Raw genomic sequence first — 20,142 nt, 5'->3', positions numbered from 1 at the left:
GGGCCCTACAACTGCACCCTGAGCCGGAGCTGCCCAGTCGCCGCGGGACCGGGGCCGCTGGGGTCTGGACGGGGGTCGCCATGGTAACGGGGGAGCGCTACGCCGGGGACTGGCGGAGGGGGGGCCCACGCGTAAATAGCCGAGGCTGGATCGGGCGCTGACAAGTCCCTTCTCTGCCGCGGATGGTCTGGGTCAGGCGCGGGCTCTGGGGATTGGGACCGATCCAGGGCCGGGAAGGAGGGCACAGGGCGGTGATTCTGCGCGCGGGGGTTACCAGGGGTCTCGCGGCGACGGGCATTGGGGGTGGTGTTCCAAGGGGAAAGGGCTGTGCAGGTGGGAAACGTTGTAGATGGTTGGAAGCTTTGAAACGAGAGGAAACTCGTGAGACACAGTCTTGTGGGTAGCGAGAAGGCATTGGAGGTGGGGAGAGGGCGTCCGAAAGAGGAAGGCGCTCTGGAAGTGTGGCGGGAGCGCTGGGACGAGAACGCGAGACCTTGGAAAAGGGGAGGGAGGTTTTCTTGATGGGAGGAGTCTCTAGAGACAAGGATCTGATTGCAGGTGGAGAGGGGATGTTGAGACAGGGGCAGGAGACTGCCTGTGAGAGAGGGATGATCTCAAGAAGAGACCTGGCACAGGAAACCAAAAGGAGGCAACTGTAGGGAATGAAACTTAAGGGTCTGGGAAAGCGCTGTAAAAGGAGAGAGGACCTGGAGGTAAGATGGACACTCGGAAAGAATGGGGAGCAACTGAATAGGTCTTTCCAAGAGGAGAGATCTTGTGGGGTGGGGAGTAGGCTTGAAAGTGTGAGACCTGGGGAGGAATCTTTGTTGGGGCAAAGACTCAACATTGGATTTAGGAGTGCCCCTATCCCCCAGGTTGGGGCTTTGGATCTAGGAAAGGGTTCTTTGGGCTGGAAGTTGGGAAAGAAAACGAATGAGAAAGAGTGTCAGAGCGGGGGCGGAGTCTCCTCCAGGAACAGGGTCCTTGGAGGCAAAATGTGACCTTTTGAAGAAGGGAGGAAGCTTGGGAGTGGGACAAGGGATGTCACCAGTAAAAAGCCCATTGAGGCCCCAAGGAGGGGAACTGAGACTGAGAAAGTGGAGGTCAAAAGGGAACAACTCCAGAGGAGGGGGATTGGAGACAGGGAAGGTTGGGGGGCATCTAGAGGGGACAGCAGAGGCGTGAGGATGCAGAGATTCAGGACGGAGGGGACTTGAGATTCCAAATGGGAAGAAAACAGGGAGAGGTATACAAGGGAATTTGGGAGTAAGAGGCAGAGCTTTTTGTCAACTCTGTGGGTTTGCTTCTAGTTCTCCTAACTGTGTGAATATGTCTCCGGCTCTGCTCCCAGGCTGTGGCTGCCTGGTGTAGGCCCCCCAACGTCCCTTCCTGCCTGGGACCCCTGCCCTGCTAGGAAGTGGTTTTCCCTGGCTCAGCAGGAGTTCTTGGAAGGAGAGTGTAACATCCTGTTCCGGTCCAGTTTGGTTGGTTGGGGGAGGGAGGATAGAGTGTGTGGAGAATGAGGCTTAGGAAAGACTCTCAGGCTGGGGCGGTGACTCATGCCTGTAATCCCAGCACTTTGGGAGGCTGAGGCAGGCGGATCACATAAGGTCAGGAGTTCGAGACCAGCCTGGCCAACGTGGTGAGACCCCGTCTCTACTAAAAATACAAAAATAAGCCAGGTGTGGTGGTGGATGCCTGTAATCCCAGCTACTTGGGAGGCTGAGGCAGGAGAATCGCTTGAACCCGGGAGGCAGAGGCTGCAGTGAGCCGAGATTGTGCCACTGGCCTAGGCGACAGAGTGAGACTCTGTCTCAAAAAAAAAAAAAAAAAAAAGGCTGGGCACAGTGACTCGCGCCTGTAACCCCAGCACTTTGGGAGGCTGAGGCAGGCAGATCACAAGGTCAGGAGTTCGAGACCAGCCTGACCAACATGGTGAAACCCTGTCTCTACTAAAAATACAAAAATTAGCCGGGCATGGTGGCATGCGCCTGTAATCCCAGGTACTTAGGAGGCTGAGGCAGGAGAATCGCTTGAACCTGGAGGTAGAGGTTGCAGTGAACCGAGACAGTGCCACTGCACTCCAGCCTAGGCAACAGAGTGAGACTGTCTGAAAACAAAAAAGAAAAGAAAAAGACAGGACTAGAGGGCTCTCTTTCCTAAGAGAGAAGGCTCCCACAAGTTGGGGTCAGGTGGTTCAGAGCAAAGCCTTTGGACTCCCACCTCTGCTTTCTGGCTGTGAGACTTCCTTTCCCTAAATCTCAGTTTCCTCATCTATAAAATGGGCATGAGCATGCCTGTCTCAGACAGAAATGGGCCCAGAACTTCTAATGGAGTAAGCTTTGGCCATGGTTTTCTGAACATCACATAATGGAAAATATAATGCTGCTAAGAGCTGGTTCTTATGTAACACTTAGTACGTGCCAGTCACTGTACTATACCTCTATGTTTTTGTTTTTGTTTTTTTGAGACAGCGTCTCGCTCTGTCACCCAGGCTGGAGAGCAATGGTGCAATGTCAGCTCACTGCAACCTCTGCCTCCTGGGTTCAAGTGATTCTCATGCCTCAGCCTCCCGAGTAGCTGGGATTATAGCCGCCTCCCCCCTGCCCCCCATCACACCTGGCTAATTTTTGTATTTTTAGTACAGATGGGGTTTCACCATGTTGGCCAAACTGGTCTCGAACTCCTGACCTCAAGTGATCTGCCCGCCTTGGCCTCCCAAAGTGCTGGGATTACAGGTGTGAGCCACCGTGACCGGCCAGGAATATCCTTTACTCCTCACAGTAAACTCAGGCACCAAAGTGGCACCAAAGTTAAGTCATGAAAGTGGCAGACGCTTTGGAAAACGGTTTAGCAATTCCTGAGAAAGTTAAACATAGCGTTACCCTATGAGCCAGCAATCTCACTCTTAGGTATATACCCAAGAGAAATGATCCATCCACACGAAAACTCATACACGAATGTTCATAGCAGTATTATTCATAATAGCCCTAAAGCAGAAACAACCCAAATGCCCGAAGTACGGCCTTATCCATCCAACAGAGGATCACTCAGCCACGGAAAGGAATTGCAGCTCTGCCGCTTGCCACCCCACAGATGAGCCTGGAAAACGTCACGCTGAGTGAAGGAAGCCAGACACGAAAGCCACAGAGTGCATGATTCCACTCATATACAATGTCCAGAACAGACACATCCACAGAGACAGAAAGGAGACTCGTGGCTGCCAGGCCCTGGGGGAACGGAGAGTGACTGCTAATGGGTGGGGAGTTTTTTGGGGGGAGATGATGAAAATGTTCTGGTATTAGATAATAAATTAGATAGTGGTGATATTAGGTGGGGTGCAGTGGCTCACGCCTGATGCAGCACTTTGGGGGGATGAGGTGGGTGGATCGCTTGAGGCCAGGAGTTCGAGACCAGCCTGGACAACATGGTGAAACACTGTCTCTACTAAAAATACAAAAAGTTAGCTGGGCGTGGTGGTGTGCACCTGCGGTCCCAGCTACCTGGGAGGCCTGCACCCAGGAGGTGGAGGTTGCAGTGAGGCGGGATCGCGCCACTGCACTCTAGCCTGGGCAACAGAGCTAGAACCTGTCTCAAAAAAAAAAAAAAAAGTGGTGATTTTTACACAACTGTGAATATATACTAAGTGAATATACCAAAAACCATTTAACTGTCTACATTTTAAGTGGATGGATTTTATGGTGTGTGAATTACATTTCAATTTTATAAAAAGTTAGGAAGCAAAGAGAAAAAAAGAAGTGGCAGAGCTGAGACTTAGCCCAAAGGAGTCTGAACCTCAAATGTTTATTGAGTATCTACCACCTACCAGCCACCGAACTAAGTTTATAAACTTTTTTTTTAACCTTTAAAAAAACCCTGGCTGACTGGGCGTGGTGGCCCATGCCTATAACCCCACACTTTGGGAGGCAGAGGCGGGCGGATCACCTGAGGTCAGAAGTTTGAGACCAGCCTGGCCAACATGGTGAAACCCCGTCTCTACCAAAAATACAAACATTTTCCAGGCGTGGTGGCGGGTGCCTGTAGTCCCAGCTACTCAGGACACTGAGGCAGGAGAATCGCTTGAACCTGGGAGGCGGAGGTTGCAGTGAGCCGAGATTGCGCCATCGCACTCCAGCCTGGGTGACAGAATGAGACACTGTCTGAAAATTTAAAAATAACAAAAAATATAATGAAAAAACCACCCTGGTGAGATGAATCTTCTTGGGAGACTTGTTTTGCTGGTGAGGAAACAGGCCTAGAGGGGCAGACAAAGCAGGGCACAGTGGCTCACACCTGTGATCCCAGCAGTTTGGGAGGCCGAGGTGGGAGAATTGCTTGAGTCCAGGAGTTTGAGACCAGCAACGTAGCAAGACTCTGTCTCTACAAAAAAAAAAAAAAAAAAAAACAGAGAGAGATAAGAGGTGGTGGAGGAGCCTGGGACTCGGGGCCCTGGAGCTGACTCCAGAGTTGGAGACTTGTGGAAGGGAAGTCACTCCACAGGGGTGCTGGAGGGACCCGGGATGAAGCGTGTGGCCAGGCCGGCCTGGCTTGGGTCTGGGGAGCAGCCGAGACCCCTGGAAGTCAGGCAGCAGGGAGGCCCTGAGCCCTATCTCCCCTCTGGGTGGATGGGTGGGGCCGTTGGGCAGCACCCAACCCGCCCTCTCTGCCTCTCTCACTTCCTCCTTCTCCTCCTGCTGCCCCCAGATCCGCTTTATCCTCATCCAGAACCGGGCAGGCAAGACGCGCCTGGCCAAGTGGTACATGCAGTTTGATGATGATGAGAAACAGAAGCTGATCGAGGAGGTGCATGCCGTGGTCACCGTCCGAGACGCCAAACACACCAACTTTGTGGAGGTGACGCCCGCTCCATGCCTCCTGCACCCCGCTGCTTCCTCGTGCCCTACTTCGCCACTCCCTGCCCAGCTTCTAGTTGCAAGAACCCCTTGGACCCTCTATCCATCCTATATCATTCACTCAACCTGCTTTGAGCTTGCTTGCTTCTTCCCTTCCTTTACTTGTACTTTTCATTGTGAAAAATCATAAACATACAGATTAGTACAATGAAAGAAAAGTAGATTGGAGATTCGTATACCTACTACCCAGATTTAATCAGTATTAATATTTTGCCTTTTTGTTCTGCATTGTTATTATTAATTTTTTTTGCCTACGATTAAAAAAGAATTTTTTTTTTTGGTCAAATTTTTTTTGCTGGTGCGTTTTTCAAACTTCCTATAGAATGTTCAAACACAGAAAAGTAGAGAGAATAGGCCAGGTGCAGTGGCTCATGCCTGTAATCCCAGCACTTTGGGAAGCCAAGGTGGGAGGATTGCTTGAGCCCAGGTGTTCAAGACCAGCCTGGGCAATGTAGCAAGACCTTGTCTTTATTTTTTATTTGATTGAATTGAATTAATTAATTAATTAATTAATTAATTACTTTTTTTGAGACAGAGTCTTACTCTGTCACCCAGGCTGGAGTGCAGTGGCATGATCTCAGCTCACTGCAACCTCCACCTCCCAGGTTCAAGCAATTCTCCTGCCTCAGCCTCCCAAATAGCTGGGATTACAGGCGTGCACCACAACACCAGGCTAATTTTGTATTTTTGGTAGAGACGAGGTTTCACCATGTTGGCCAGGCTGGTCTCGAACTCCTGACCTTGTAATCCACCCTCCTCGGCCTTCCAAAGTGCTGGGATTACAGGCATGAGCCACTGCGCCTGGCCTTTTTTGCCTTTTTTTTTTTTTTTTTCTGAAATGGAGTCTGTCTCAGTCACCCAGGCTGGAGTGCAATGGGGGCAATCTTGGCTCACTGCAACCTCCTCCAGGGTTCAAGCTATTCTCTGCCTCAGCCTCCCTAGGAGCTGGGATTACAGGTGCTCGCCACCACGCCTGGCTAATTTTTGTATTTTTAGTAGAGATGGGGTTTCACCATGTTGGTCAGACTGGTCTTGACCTCCTGATCTCAAGTGATCCACCCGCCTTGGCCTCCCAAAGTGCTGGGATTACAGGCGTGAGCCACCATGCCTGTCCCTCTTTAAAAAATTTTTTTTGAAACAGGAGCTCATTCTGTCACCCAGGCGGGAGTGCAGTGGCACGAACATGGCTCACAGCAGCCTTGACTTCCTATGTTCAAGCTACCCTCCCACCTCAGCCTCCTGAGTAGCTGGGACTACAGGCTTGTGCACTACCAAGCCCAGCTAATATTTGTATTTTTGGTAGCGATGGGGTCTCACCATGTTGCCCAGGCTGGTCTCAAACTCTTGAGCTCAAGTGATCTGCCTGCTTCGGCCTCCCAAAGTGCTGGGATTACAGGCATGAGCCACTGCGCCCAGCCAGGATGCAGGTTTAAATGGTTTGGTTAGGATGGCATTGCTGAAAAGGTGACATTGGAGCCAAGACCTGAAGGACTTGACGGGGAGGAAGGAGCCAATGTCTGAGAGGAACATTTCAAGCCAAGGGAACAGCAAGTGTAAAGTCCCTGGGGCAGGAGAATACTTAGGGCGTTCCAGGGATAGCAGGAATGCAGCCAGGAAGGGGAGGAGATGAAAGAGAGAAGATAACAGGGTAATCTCTTGGTGCAGGGCTGCAGGGAAGACTTGGGCTCTTACTATGAGTCAGATGGGAGCCGTAGAAAAGTTGTTTTTGCCGGCCGGGCGCGGTGGCTCACTCCTGTAATCCCAGCACTTTGGGAGGCCAAGGTGGGTGGATCACAAGGTCAGGAGACCAGCCTGACCAACATGATGAAATCTCGTCTCTACTAAAAATACAAAAATTAGCCGGGCCTGGTCGTGGGTGCCTGTAGTCCCAGCTACTCGGGAGGCTGAAGCAGGAGAATCGCTTGAATCCAGGAGGCAGAGGTTGCAGTGAGCCGAGATCGTGCCATTGCACTCCAGCCTGGGCAACAGAACAAGACTCCTCTCAAAAAAAAAAGAAAGGTTGTTTTTGTTTTTTGGTGTTTTTTAGAGACACGGTCTTGCTCTGTCTCCCAGGCTAGAGTACAGTGGTGCAATTACAGCTCACTGTACCCTCCCAGGCTCAAGCAAGCCTCCCACCTCAGCTTGCCAAGTGGCTGGGACTACAGGCATGCACCTCCATGCCCATCTAATTTTTAAATTTTTTTTTCTTTTCAGGTGGGTTCTCACTCTGTTACCTAGGCTAGAGTGCAGTGGTGCGATCTCAGCTCACTGCAACCTCTGCCTCTCGGGGTCAAGCAATTCTCCCACCTCAGCCTCCCGAGTAGCTGGGACCATTGGCATGTGCCACCAATGCCGTACTAATTTTTGTATTTTTGGTAGAGACAGGGTTTCGCCATGTTGCCCAGGCTGGTCTCGAACTCCTGAGCTCCAGCGATCCGCCCACCGCAGCTTCCCAAAGTCCTAGGATTACAGCCATGAGTGACCACGCCTGGCTAATTTTTAAATTTTTCGTAGAGATGGGGTATTGCTATGTTGTCCAGGCTGGTCTTGAACCATGGAGGGTTTTGAGCAGAGCATGGCCATTGGCCGACTTGAGGCTGCGCTATAGGGCAAGAGCATAGAGGAGACTGCTCGGAGAGAGGTGGCTGCAGTGGTCCAGGTGGGAGATGCTGGTGACCGGACCAGCATGGAAGCCGTCGGTGTGGCCAGGAGCGTTTTGGAGGTGGACCCAGCTGAATGGCCAAGAATTGGATGTGGAATGTGAGAGAAAGCAGAGCCAGGGCGACAATTAGATTTCCCACTTGAGCCCCCGGGTAGGATGGAGCTGTCATTATCTGATATGGGCAGATGGGAAGGGCAGGCGGAGGTGAAGATCAGGAGGGAAGTGTTGGGGGTCTGGCCCCGAGTATCGTCCACATCCCAGCAGAGATGTCCAGGAAGAAGTGACGAGTCAGGGTTCTTGGAGAGAGCTGGGTAGGATATGGAAACGGCATTTCTGCACATAGAGGGAAACCGAGGCCAAGGAGCTCACCGGGGAAGTGAGGATAGACCGAGGAGAGCACCAGAGGGCCACGTCTGCAGGCAGAGAGATGAGGGAGAGGAGAACCAAGAGATTGGGTGTCCCAGCAGCCAGGAGGGGGACAGGGTTGGACTTACCTCTCCAGGAGGAGGTCACTGGTGGTGTCACCAAGAGCAGCAGGTGGGAAGGGGGAGAGGAACTGGGTGTCGGGTGTTCTGGCTGTGTGGGCACCTTGCTGCTAATGTAGTGGCTGGTCCTGTGCTGAGGGCTGGGGCGCGGGAGGGGTCAGTGAGGCCCAATGATACAGGGGCAGCCGGAAAGTCCGGCTGGGCAAATGAGAATGTTACAGAGGAGGCTGACCCTCAGGTCTTGAGTTCCTCCATGCCTCCAGGATCCAGGCCCGCCCATTCATTCAGTTGTTCCTTTGTGCATGTATTCACCTAATGTTTCTGTGTGCCTCCTCTGTGATCAGCCCAGTGCTAGGTTCACAGCAGCACTGAGACAGCCTTGTGCTGCTTTGGGACTCATAGCCCAGGAAGGAACACAAGCCTGTCCTAGACAGTGACAACCACAGTAGGCAGGGCTGGGATCGAGGAGCCTGGCTGGGGGAGGGCACCTGACCCAGCCTGGGGGTCTGGAGGGCTTCCTGGAGGGGACTTGTGAGTGAAGATCAAAGGGAGGAGTAGGCAACTGGAAGATGCGGGCTATCCCTCTTGTTATTATTATTATTATTTGAGACAGGGTCTCACTCTGTGCCCCAGGCCGGAGTGCAGTGGTGCAATCATAGCTCACTGCAGCCTCCGCCTCCCAGGCTCAAGGGATCCTCCCACCTCAGACTCCTGAGTAGCTGGGACTACAGGGACCTGCCACCACGCCCAACTAATTTTTTGTATGTTTTATAGAGATGGGTCTTGATATGTTGCCTAAACTGCTCTTGAACTCCTGAGATCAAGCCTTGGCCTCCCAAAGTGCTGGGATGATAGGCATGAGGCCCGGCACCTGGCCGTCGTCCAATCTCTGTCTGACTCGCACTGTCCCGCCTCCCGCTTTCCTTTATTAGCAGCCCAGTGAGGACATTGGTCCCGCCTGAACCATCCAGGATTATCGCCCCATCTCATGCTTCTTAACTTCGTCACAAGTTGAGACTGCAGAGTCCCTTTTTGCCATATAAGGTCCCATATTCACAGGGTGTGGGATTAGGATGTGGATGTCTTTGGGGGCCATTACCTGTGCCAGCCCTTTGCAGGGCAACATGGAGGACACAGTGTGACAGCTCCAGCTTCCCCCACAGGCTCAGTCCAATGGGGAGACAGACCCATCCCCAGACAGTGGCGACCAGCAGTGGTCAGGCTGGGGCAGGGCAGGGGTGGGGCAGTGGCGTGGGATGTTCAGAGGGGACACCTGCCCCAGCCTGCAGGATGAGAGAATGTGCTTCTCTGAGAGAATGTAGCTGGAGGAGAGATGGGGGTCTGCAGCAGATCCCTGAGAAGCCTCGAAATTTAAAACAGGAAGGGAGGCTGGAAAGATGGAGCAGTAGCTGGAGGCGGAGGAGGGTGAGAGCCAGAAAAGCTGGATTGCAAGAAGAGAGGAGCACTGATGATCAGTGTCAGCTCATTTACCCGTGGATTACATGTAGGCCTTACTGTAATCACACCAGAAAACATACTCAGGCTGGGCTCACGCCTGTAATCCCAGCACTTTGGGAGGCAGAGGCAGGTGGATCATCTGAGGTCAGGAGTTGGAGACCAGCCTGGCCAACATGGTAAAACCTCATCTCTACTAAAAATACAAAAATTAGCCAGGCGTGGTGGTGCACACCTGTATTCCTAGCTACTCAGGAGGCTGAGGCAGGAGAATTGCTTGAACCTGGGAGGCAGAGGTTGCAGTGAGCCAAGATTGCGCCGCTGCACTCTGGCCTGGGCGACAGAGTGAGACTGTCTCAAAAAAACCAAAAAACAAAAAAAACCCTGAAAACATGCTTGGAGTATAGCAATGAACAAGAGATTGAGCTGAAAAAATGAGTAAAAAGCTATTAGCTGGGTGTGGTGGCGCGCCTGTAATCCCAGCTACTCGGGAGACTGAGGCAGGAGAATCGCTTGAACCCAAGAGGCAGAGATTGCAGTGAGCCGAGATCGAGCCACTGCTCTCCAGCCTGGGCGTCAGAGCCAGACTCAAAAAAAAAAAAAAAAAAAAATGCCGAAGACTGATGCTGGCACTCATAGCTGTCAGCAGGTGGCGACACAGGCACACCCCAGACCTAGAGCTGCTGTTTTTTTGTGTTTTTTGAGACAGGGTCTCCCGGGCTGGAGTGCAGTGATGGGAACGTGGCTCACAGCAGCTTTGACCTCCCAGGCTCAGGTCATCTCCCCACCTCAGCCTCCCGAGTAGCTGGGACCACAGGTACACGCCACCATACCCAGCTAAGTTTTGTACTTTTGTATAGATGGGGTTTCACCATGTTGCCCAAGCTGGCCTGAAACTCCTGGGCTCAAGTGATCCTCTCGCCCGGCCTCCTGGAGTGCTGGGATTTTTTTTTTTTTTTTTTTTGTAATGAACCTGACATTGAGAACATATAGAACTGAACTGGATTTTCAGGTTTTGGCCAAAGACATTGTACTTTGCAACCCAGTATGCATATATATCTGTCTTTGTCTACTTAACACGCGCATAAAATGAGAATCCATGTCCCTGATCCTGGCATGTTTGTTCACGGTGTGTGTCTGTGTTACTATTGCTAACTGTGTATATCGCATTTCAGTGAGGGCAGGACAAGGACCCAGGATCGTCTTGGTGGCAGTGGTAACCCTCCTCCCCACACTGCCTATCACAGGCCTGGCATAGAGTAGCTGCTCAGGAAGTATTTGTTAAATAATTGAGTTAATTAATTCCAGGCTAAGGGATGTGACTGTCTCCAGAGGTAGCAGGAAGTCACAGAAGGGAGTGGCAAGGTTGCATGGACACTATTGAACACGTCAGGCTCCCGCCCAGCCCCGGGCTTTTGCTATCTGCTTAGAACATTCCTGCCTATCCTCCAGCTCTCAGCTCCGATACCCCCTCCTCCAGGAAGCCCTCCTGACTCTCCAGGATCAGAGGGGGTTAGGCACCCTCTTTGGGCTCTCACAGCCCATCCTGTCCATTCTGGGGATGCCTGCCCCCGCTGCACTGTGAGCAGGGTTAGGGCTGTCTCGGTCACTGCTGTGACCCCAGCACAGGGCCAGGCACAGAGCTGGGCCTCGGGACCACGTATGGAGTGAAGGAGTGAATGTTTTGGCCCCACTCTGTCTGGCACGTTAGGTCCTGGCAATCTCCGTTGCTGACAGCCTCTCTGTTCTGCAGTTCCGGAACTTTAAGATCATTTACCGCCGCTATGCTGGCCTCTACTTCTGCATCTGTGTGGATGTCAATGACAACAACCTGGCTTACCTGGAGGCCATTCACAACTTCGTGGAGGTACGGCGGGAGAGGGATGTAAGGTGGGGAGGCGGGTGGGCAGCCCTGGAGTGGCCCCCAAGGCCTGGGAACCCTCCCTGGTCCCTCCTGAGCCCTCCCTCTGCAGTGACTGGGACTCTCCCTCTCCATTTCTTTTTTTTCTTTTTCTTTTTTTTTTTTTTTTTTTTTTTTTTTTTTTGAGACGGAGTCTTGTTCTGTCGCCCAGGCTGGAGTGCAGTGGTGCAATCTTGGCTCATTGCAGCCTCCACCTCCCAGGTTCAAGTGATTCTCCTGCCTCAGCCTCTTGAGTAGCTGGGATTACAGGCACACGCCACGATGCCCAGCTAATTTTTGTATTTTTAGTAGAGATGGGGTTTCACCATGTTGGCCAGGCTGGTCTTGCACTCCTAACTTCAAGTCATCCTTCTGCCTTAGCCTCCCAAAGTGCTGGGATTACAGGTGTGAGCCACCGCGCCTGACCTTTTGCCATCTCTTTGCATCGATCTTTGCTTTTGTTTCTCTCTGTGTGTCTCCTTGCCTCTCTCCCTGTCACTGTCTCTCTCTCTCCCCTGCCTCCCCCTTGGTCTCTTTTTTTGCTGTCTCTTTCTGATGACCTTGTTCCCATCTCTGTGCGTGTGTGGCTCTCTCCCTGCCCATCTCTTACCATCTCTGCCTTCCTCTCCCAGGTCTTAAACGAATATTTCCACAATGTCTGTGAACTGGACCTGGTGTTCAACTTCTACAAGGTAGGCTCCTGGTGAAGAGGAGGCTGAAGGAGCCAGAGGAGGGGGACGGGGGGGACCCGTGGTGCACTAGCCACCCGGAGCCTCTGCTGAGGTCTGTGTCCCAGCTCGAGGGGCATCAGAGCCCCAGCTTCCAGGGTCCGGGCCAGCATCCTGGGGGGCCTCGTCTCACCCCAGGGTCTCCCCTCACACAGGTTTACACGGTCGTGGACGAGATGTTCCTGGCTGGCGAAATCCGAGAGACCAGCCAGACGAAGGTGCTGAAACAGCTGCTGATGCTACAGTCCCTGGAGTGAGGGCAGGCGAGCCCCACCCCGGCCCCGGCCCCTCCTGGACTCGCCTGCTCGCTTCCCCTTCCCAGGCCCGTGGCCAACCCAGCAGTCCTTCCCTCAGCTGCCTAGGAGGAAGGGACCCAGCTGGGTCTGGGCCACAAGGGAGGAGACTGCACCCCACTGCCTCTGGGCCCTGGCTGTGGGCAGAGGCCACCGTGTGTGTCCCGAGTAACCGTGCCGTTGTCGTGTGATGCCATAAGCGTCTGTGCGTGGAGTCCCCAATAAACCTGTGGTCCTGCCTGGCCTTGCCGTCTTTGAGCCCTTGCCTGTCTCCCCTGGGAACCAGATACCTAGGATGCCTTGCCTTCAGTCCATCAGTCAGTCAGTCAACAAACGCCCCTCATTGTGCTGAGCAAGGTGAGACACCCAGGTGCTCTTCAGACCTGCTCCTGCTCACCAAGGGCCCCCAGGCTGGAAGGGGTGATGGGTTTAGATTCCAGGCACTTGCTACTAAAATAACAATACTCAGCTAATGCTGAAGGGCACTCACCCTCTCCCAGGCATTGTTCTAAGCAATTGACATGTCTTACCTTACTTAAAGCTCACTAGATTATAAGTCTGGGACTATTTTTTTTTTTTTTGAGACATGGTCTCACTCTATTGCCCAGGCTGGAGTGCAGTGGCAGGATCATGGCTCACTGCCGCCTTGACCTCCTGGGCTCAGTTGATCCTCCCACCTCAGCCTCCCAAGTAGCTGGGACTACAGATGTGTGCCACCATACCTGGTTAATTTTTTTTTTTTTTTTTGAGATGGAGTTTCGCTCTTTTTGCCCAGGCTGGAGTGCAATAGCGCTAGCTCGGCTCACTGCAACCTCTGCCTCCCAGTTTCAAGTGATTCTCCTGCCTCAGCCTCCAAAGTAGCTGAGATTACAGGTGCGTGCCACCATGCCCAGCTAAGTTTTTTTTTTTTGAGATGGAGTCTTGCTCTGTTGCCCAGGCTGGAGTGATCTCCTGGCTCAAGTGATCTTCCTGCCTTGGCCTCCCAGAGTTCTGGGATTACAGGCGTGAGCCACTCTATCCGGCCAAGGACAGGACTGTTATTATCCCCATTTTCCAAGTGAGAACATTGTTCCAGGAATGTTTCAGGAACATTAAAAGACTTGACCAGGCTGGGCGCAGCGGCTCACGCCTGTAATCCCAGCACTTTGGGAGGCTGAGGCGGGTCAAGAGATTGAGACCATCCTGGCCAACATGGTGAAACCCTGTCTCTACTAAAAATATAAAAATTAGCTGGGCATGGTGGCATGCACCTGTAATCCCAGCTACTCAGGAGGCTGAGGCAGGAGAATTGCTTGAACCCGGGAGGCAGAGGTTGCAGTGAGCCGAGATTGTGCCACTGCATTCCAGCCTGGGCAACAGAGCGAGACTCCATCTAAAAAAAAAAGACGACTTGACCAAGGTCTGTAGCTAGTCAGTAGCCAAGCCAGGTTTGTTTTGAGCCAGTTTTGAAGCCAGGTGGGTAGCTCCAGAACCCTCATTTTTATCTGCTCGCCCCGGTGGTTGTTGGAAATGTAGGCACTGGGCTTGATGATTTGTGTTTCTTGGCAACAGCACTGCTGGCATTTGGGCCAGGACAATCCCTCATTGTGAGGCTGCTCCAGAAGTGGATGGACTTTTGACTTCCACCCACCAAGTGCCAGAAGTGGCCTTCTGGCCATTGTGATGATAGAAGCCACCCCTGAGTGTTTCTAGGGCCCTCTGAAGTTAAGGGGCCCCCGATGCCCACTGAGAGCAGAGTGTGGGGGCTGCTGGCCACACCTATGCCTGGCATCCTTCGCAAGCTGAGAACACCCTGGCCCCTGTCAGTTTCTTTCCTTCCTTCCTTCCTTTCTTTTTGACAGGGTCTTATTCTGTCACTCCCCAGGCTGGAGTGCAATGGCACAATCTTGGCTCACTGCCACCTCTACCTCCCAGGCTCAAGTGATTCTCCTGCCTCAGCCTCCCGAGTAACTGGGACTACAGGCGCCTGCCACCATGCCCGGCTAATTTTTGTATTTTTAGTAGAGACGGGGTTTCACCATGTTGGCCAGGCTGGTCTCGAACTCCTGAGCTCAAATGGTCCGCCCGCCTCAGCCTCCAAATTGCTGGGATTGCAAGCCTGAACCATGGTGCTCAGCCTCTTTTTATAAATATAAACTAGCATGTTAGTTTTTTATTGCTGCTGTAACAAATTATCACAAACTTAGCGGCTTAAAACAACACAATTTTATTCTCAATGAAATCTGAAATGGGTTTCAGTGGGCTAAAATCAAGTTGTCAGCAGAGCTGTCTGGACCATCTAGGAGAGAATCCTTCCCTGCCTTTTCCAGCCTCTAGAAGTTGCCTCCTGTTCTTGGCATGTAACCCTATCCTTCATCCTTCAAGCCAGCTGCGGAGCATCTTCCAGTCTCTCTCTCTCTGGCTCTGACTGATTTTCCTGCCGCTTGCTTTTACTGATAAGGACACCTGTGGTTACATTCGTCCCACCTGGATAATCTAGGATCATCTCCCCATATCAAGACCCGGACTGTAATCACAACTGTAAAGTCCCTTTTACTGTGTAAGACAACACATCTACAGGTTCCGGAGATGAGGATGTGGACATTTAGGGCGTGCTATTATTCTGCCTGCCACTTATATGGTGTCTATGTAAGAACTGGGGGCTGGGCGCAGTGGCTCACATCTATAATCCCAGCATTTTAGGAGGCCAAGGTGGCAGATCACTTGAGATCAGGAGTTCAAGACCAGCCTAGCCAACGTGACAAAACCCCATCTCTACTAAAAGTACAAAAATTAGCCAAGTGTGGTGTTGGGCACCGATAATCCCAGCTACTCAGGAGGCTGAGGCATGAGAATCACTTGAACCCAGGAGGCTGGGTTGCAGTGAGCCGAGATAGTGCCACTGTACTCCAGTCTGGGCGACAGAGTGAGACTCTTTTTGTCCCAAAAAAAAAAAAAAAAAGAAAAGAAAAGAATTTGGGCCGAGCATGATGGTTCACACCTGTAATCCCAACACTTTGGGAGAACGAGGTGGACGGATCACTTGAGCCCAGGTGTTCAAGACCAGTCTGTCCAACATGGTGAAACCTGTCTCAAAAGAAGAAAGGAAAGGAAAGGAGAGGGGAGGGGAGGGGAGGGGAGATTGGTTTTGTTAAGGTCAAAATCACACTCTGCTAGCCGAGTTAACCAGAGAGAGGATTCTAGCCGATGGAACAGCAAGTGCAAAGGCCCTGAGGCAGAACTTGCAAGAAGGCCAGTGTGGCTGGAACAGAGTAAGCAGAAGGGGGTTCGAGATGGTTCAGAGTGGGACTGGGGATGGGAGGGGAAGTCCGATCACACAGGGCCTGCTCGGGTTTATTCTGTGTCTGATGCCCGCTATGGGAAGGATGTTTCATTTTGGAGAACCTGGGGGATGGTGGTAACAGCTTTTTTGGGATACATACAATTCACCCATTTATGGTATTACAATTCAGTGGTTTTTGTTATATTCACAGAGTTGGGTAACTATCATCACAACCCATTTTAGAATATTTTTATCACCCCAAAAAGAAACCTTATCCTTCAGCCATCACCCCTCAATTCCCCTAGCACCTGGCAACCACTACTCCACTTTGTGTCTTATTGGATTTGCCTGGGCAGTTCATATAAATAGGATCATTTAATATGTGGGGCATGGGACAGTTTTGTGCCAAATCTGATGTAAGAGGTCAAGAATTGGGAGCAGAGCTTGGGTGCAGTGGCTCGTGCCTGTAATCCCAGCACTTTTGGAGGCCGAGGCAGGCGGATCACCTGAGGTCAGGAGTTTGGCCAACGTGGTGAAACCCCGTCTCTACTAAAAATACAAAAGTATCCGGGCGTGGTGGCGCATGCCTGTAATCCCAGCTACTTGGGAGGCTGAGGCAGCAGAATTGCTGGAACCTGGAGGGTGGAGGTTGCAGTGAGCTGAGATCACGCCATTGCACTCCAGCCTGGGTAACAAGAGTGAAACTTCGTCAAAAAAAAAGAAAAAAAAAATGTGCCTAACTAGCTACTGTAACACTTGACATGGATGAAGCTGGAAAACATTAAGCTAAGTGAAAGAAGCCAGACACAAAAGGCCGGATATTGAATGATCCATTATAGGAAACATGCAGAAAAGGCAAGTGCAGAGAGACAGAAAATGATGACGGGTTGTCAGAACCCAGGGGAAATGGGAGGGAGATGATAGCTAAAGGGTACTGGGGTTCTTTCTTGTTTTGTTTTGTTTTTAGAAGACAGGGTCTCACTCTGTCTGCCAGACAGTGGTGTGATCATAGCTCATTGCAGCCTCGACTTCTTGGGCTCCAGTGATCCTCCTCCCTCAGCCTCCCGAGTATCTTGTACTACAGGTGTGCATCACCACACCTGGCCAATTTTTTTAAAAACTTTAATTTTAATTTTTTTTTTTTTTGAGACAGAATCTTGCTCTGTCGCCCAGGCTGGAGTGCAGTGGCACAATCTCGGCTCACTGCAAGCTCTGCCTCCCGGGTTCACGCCATTCTTCTGCCTCAGCCTCCCGAGTAGCTGGGACTACAGGTGCCCACCACGCCTGGCTAATCTTTTGTATTTTTTAGTAGAGACGGGGTTTCACCACGTTAGCCAGGATGGTCTCGATCTCCTGACCTCGTGATCTGCCCGCCTCGGCCTCCCAAAGTGCTGAGATTACAGGCGTGAACCACTGTGCCTGTTTTAAACCTGGCCAATTTTAAAATTATTTTTCTTCGAGACAGGGTCTCGCTATGTTGCTCAGGCTGGTCTCAAACTCCTGGCCTTGAGCAATCCTCCTGCTTCAGCCTCCTTTTTACTTGTTTTTCTTTCTTTTTTTTTTCTCTCTTTCTTGATTTCTTATTTCAATAACTTTGGTATGCCCTGGCCTTCTGAGGGGCGGGGATTACAGGCGCAAGCCACTGAACCTGGCTTGGGTTTCTTTTCTTTCTTTACTTTTTCTTTTCTTTTCTTTTCTCTTCTCTTCTCTTCTCTTCTCTTTTCCTTTTCTTTTCTGTCTTTCTTAACTTCTTTTCTTTTCTTTTTTTTTGTGAGGGAATTTCGCTCTGTTGCCCAGGCTAAAATGCAATGGCATGATCGCAATGATCTCAGCTCACTGCAACATCCACCTCCCGGGTTCAAGCGATTCTCCTGCCTCAGCCTCCCAAGTAGCTGGGACTTCAGGCACATGCCACCATGCCTGGCTAATTTTTTTGTGTGTTTTTTTTAGTAGAGACAGGGTTTCACCATGTTGGCCAGGCTGGTCTCGAACTCCTGACCTCACGTGATCCACTCGCCTTGGCCTCCCAAAGTGCTGGGATTACAGGTGTGAGTCACTGCGGCCGGCCGTATACTTTTTTTTTTTTAGTGGAGTCTCCCTCTGTCGCTAGGCTGGAGTGCAGTGACACAGTCTCGGCTCACTGCAACCTCCACCTCCCGGGTTCAAGGGATTCTCCTGCCTCAGCCTCCCAAGTAGCTGGGACTACAGGCGCACGCCACCACGCCCAGCTAATTTTTGTATTTTTAGTAGAGACAGGGTTTCCCCATGTTGGCCAGGATGGTCTCAATCTCCTGACCTCGTGATCCACCCCCCTCCTGCTCCCAAAGTGCTGGGATTACAGGCGTGAGCCACCGCGCTTGGCCGAAGTATACATTTTAAATAAGTGAATTGAATGGTATGTAAATATATGTCAACAAAGATGTTACAAAACACCTGAATGAATGACATTTACCTTGTAGTTGTAAACAGAAAAACAACGAAAATGCACAAGAATTTTTTTTTTTGAGAGAGAGAGTCTTGCTCTGTCTCCCAGGCTGGAGTGCAGTGATGCGATCTCGGCTCACTACAAGCTCCGCCTCCCAGGTTCATGCCATTCTCCTGCCTCAGCCTCCCAAGTAGCTGGGACTATAGGTGCCTGCCACCACGCCCGGCTAATTTTCGTATTTTGTTTAGTAGAGACAAGTTTCACCGTGTTAGCCAGGATGGTCTTGATCTCCTGACCTCATGATCCGCCCACCTCGGCCTCCCAAAGTGCTGGGATTACAGGCGTGAGCCACCATGCCTGGCCACACGAATGTTTATAGTGGTTTTATTCACCAAAAACTGGAAACAACCTAAATATTCTTCAAAAATGAATAGAAAAACAAACTCTGGCCCCTCCAGGCAATGGAGCACTCCTCAACATTGAAAAGGAATGAACCCGGCCAGGCGCAGTGGCTCGTACCTATAATCCCAGCACTTCGGGAGGCCAGGGCAGGAGGATTGCTTGAGGCCAGGAGTTCGTGTCCAGCCTGAGCAACATAGTGAGACCCCCATCTCCACCAAAAAAAAAAAAAAGAAAAATATCCTGGACATGGTAGGTATCACACCTGCGATCCCAGCTACTTGGGAGGCTGAGATGGGAGGATTGCTTGAGCCCAAGGTATTGAGGCTGCAGAGAGCCAAGATCTAGCTACTGCACTCCAGCCTGGTCAACAGAACAAACCCTATCTCAAAATAAAGAAATAAGGCCAGGCACAGTGGCTTACATCTGTAATCCCCGCACTTTGGGAGGCCGAGGTGGGTGGACCAGCCTGGCCAACATGGTGAAACCACATCTCTACTAAATACAAAAAATTAGCCGATGTGGTAGCGCATCCCTGTAATCCCAGCTACTTGGGAGGCTGAGGCAGGAGAATCGCTTGAACCCGGGAGGCGGAGGTTGCAGTGAGCCAAGATTGTGCTATTGCACTCCAGCCTAGGCAACAGAGCGAAGCTCCATATTGGAAACAAATTAATAAATAAAACACATAAATACATAAATAAATTTCATGCACGTACTTGTGAGGATATAACTGGTTTTTTCGATGTCTTAGGATCACACCGTATGTGGTTCTGCAGCTTGCTATCAGTGCATCTTGGAGGTGATTCTGTGTATAGTCTGTGTGGAATCCCGTTATGTGGGTGCATCCTATGTTACTTAACCAGGCCTGCGTGGCTCCTCCTAATGAAGATGAAAGAATGTCTTTGCCCACGTGCATTTTCACATACATGTGGAGGGTAAGTACCTGGAAATGAATCTCTGGGCTGAAGGGTACATGTATCTGTAACAGGTCATTTGATAGGTTCACCCCAATTGCTCTCCAAACGGGCTGTGCTGATTTTTACTCTCTGGTAGCATAGGAGGAGACCCCCTGTTTCCATGTAGCTTTGCTACTGTGCGATCTCACTATGTTTATTTTATTGTGCCTGGTTACCAATGAGGTCGAACATTACTAGTCATTCATATTCCTCTTCTGTGTTGGTACAAACCTTTTGACCATTTTCCTCCTGTGCTGTTTGTCATTTTCTTGTTTATTTGTAGTAGCTCTTTATTTATTGTGGATCCACAGTCTGTCATACATGTCACAAACATTCCCCCCAGGCTGCTTTTGTCTTTTGACTTTGTATGTGGTATCTTTTTTCAGGAAGAAGGGTTTAGTGTTTTGCTTTCTGTTAGTCTTTCTTCATTGTATATTATGGCCTTTGGGAAGGTTTATCCAGGACAAAATGTTTATAAAAATAGAGCAGGCAGTTTATAAAAGAAATGGATGAAGGGAGAGACTAACGTCAGAGCTTCCCTCTTCCCCACTACATCCTGTAGAACGGGGCTTTAAGGAGCTATTTCTGCTGTTCTTCTCCCTCCCATATTAAATAAAATGATGTATATTAAATAAAAACAGATGTTTTGTAGATAAGAAAACAG

At 50.9% G+C, this 20,142-nt stretch overlaps 1 protein-coding gene across 7 annotated transcripts, besides 1 other annotated feature; it reads left to right on the top strand.

The window, feature by feature from the left end:
• On the top strand, positions 1-12,680 carry AP2S1 (adaptor related protein complex 2 subunit sigma 1). Of its 7 annotated transcripts, XM_011526423.3 has the most exons (6): positions 1-191; positions 559-713; positions 4,705-4,854; positions 11,227-11,382; positions 12,048-12,107; positions 12,299-12,680. In XM_011526423.3, the coding sequence occupies exons 2-6, from the start codon at positions 663-665 to the stop codon at positions 12,398-12,400; spliced, it is 519 nt and encodes a 172-aa protein (XP_011524725.1). In that variant the 5' UTR covers positions 1-191; positions 559-662; the 3' UTR covers positions 12,401-12,680. The 7 variants fall into 7 exon arrangements, with proteins under 7 accessions (XP_011524725.1, NP_004060.2, NP_001288007.1 ...); NM_004069.6 differs by lacking the exon at positions 559-713 and having other exon boundaries at positions 1-83; positions 11,269-11,382; NM_001301078.3 differs by lacking the exon at positions 559-713 and having other exon boundaries at positions 1-83.
• Positions 12,138-12,638: an enhancer, noted in NCBI's record as "H3K27ac hESC enhancer chr19:47341466-47341966 (GRCh37/hg19 assembly coordinates)". NCBI's record gives its function as "activates a minimal SCP1, AML or CMV promoter by ChIP-STARR-seq in primed H9 embryonic stem cells {active_cell/tissue: H9 hESC(primed)}" and the evidence as "EXISTENCE:reporter gene assay evidence [ECO:0000049][PMID:30033119]".

This window comes from Homo sapiens, chromosome 19 (assembly GCF_000001405.40).
Source record: "Homo sapiens chromosome 19, GRCh38.p14 Primary Assembly".
Classification (NCBI taxonomy): Eukaryota; Metazoa; Chordata; class Mammalia; order Primates; family Hominidae; genus Homo; species Homo sapiens.
This window is presented reverse-complemented; position numbering and strand designations above follow the sequence as displayed.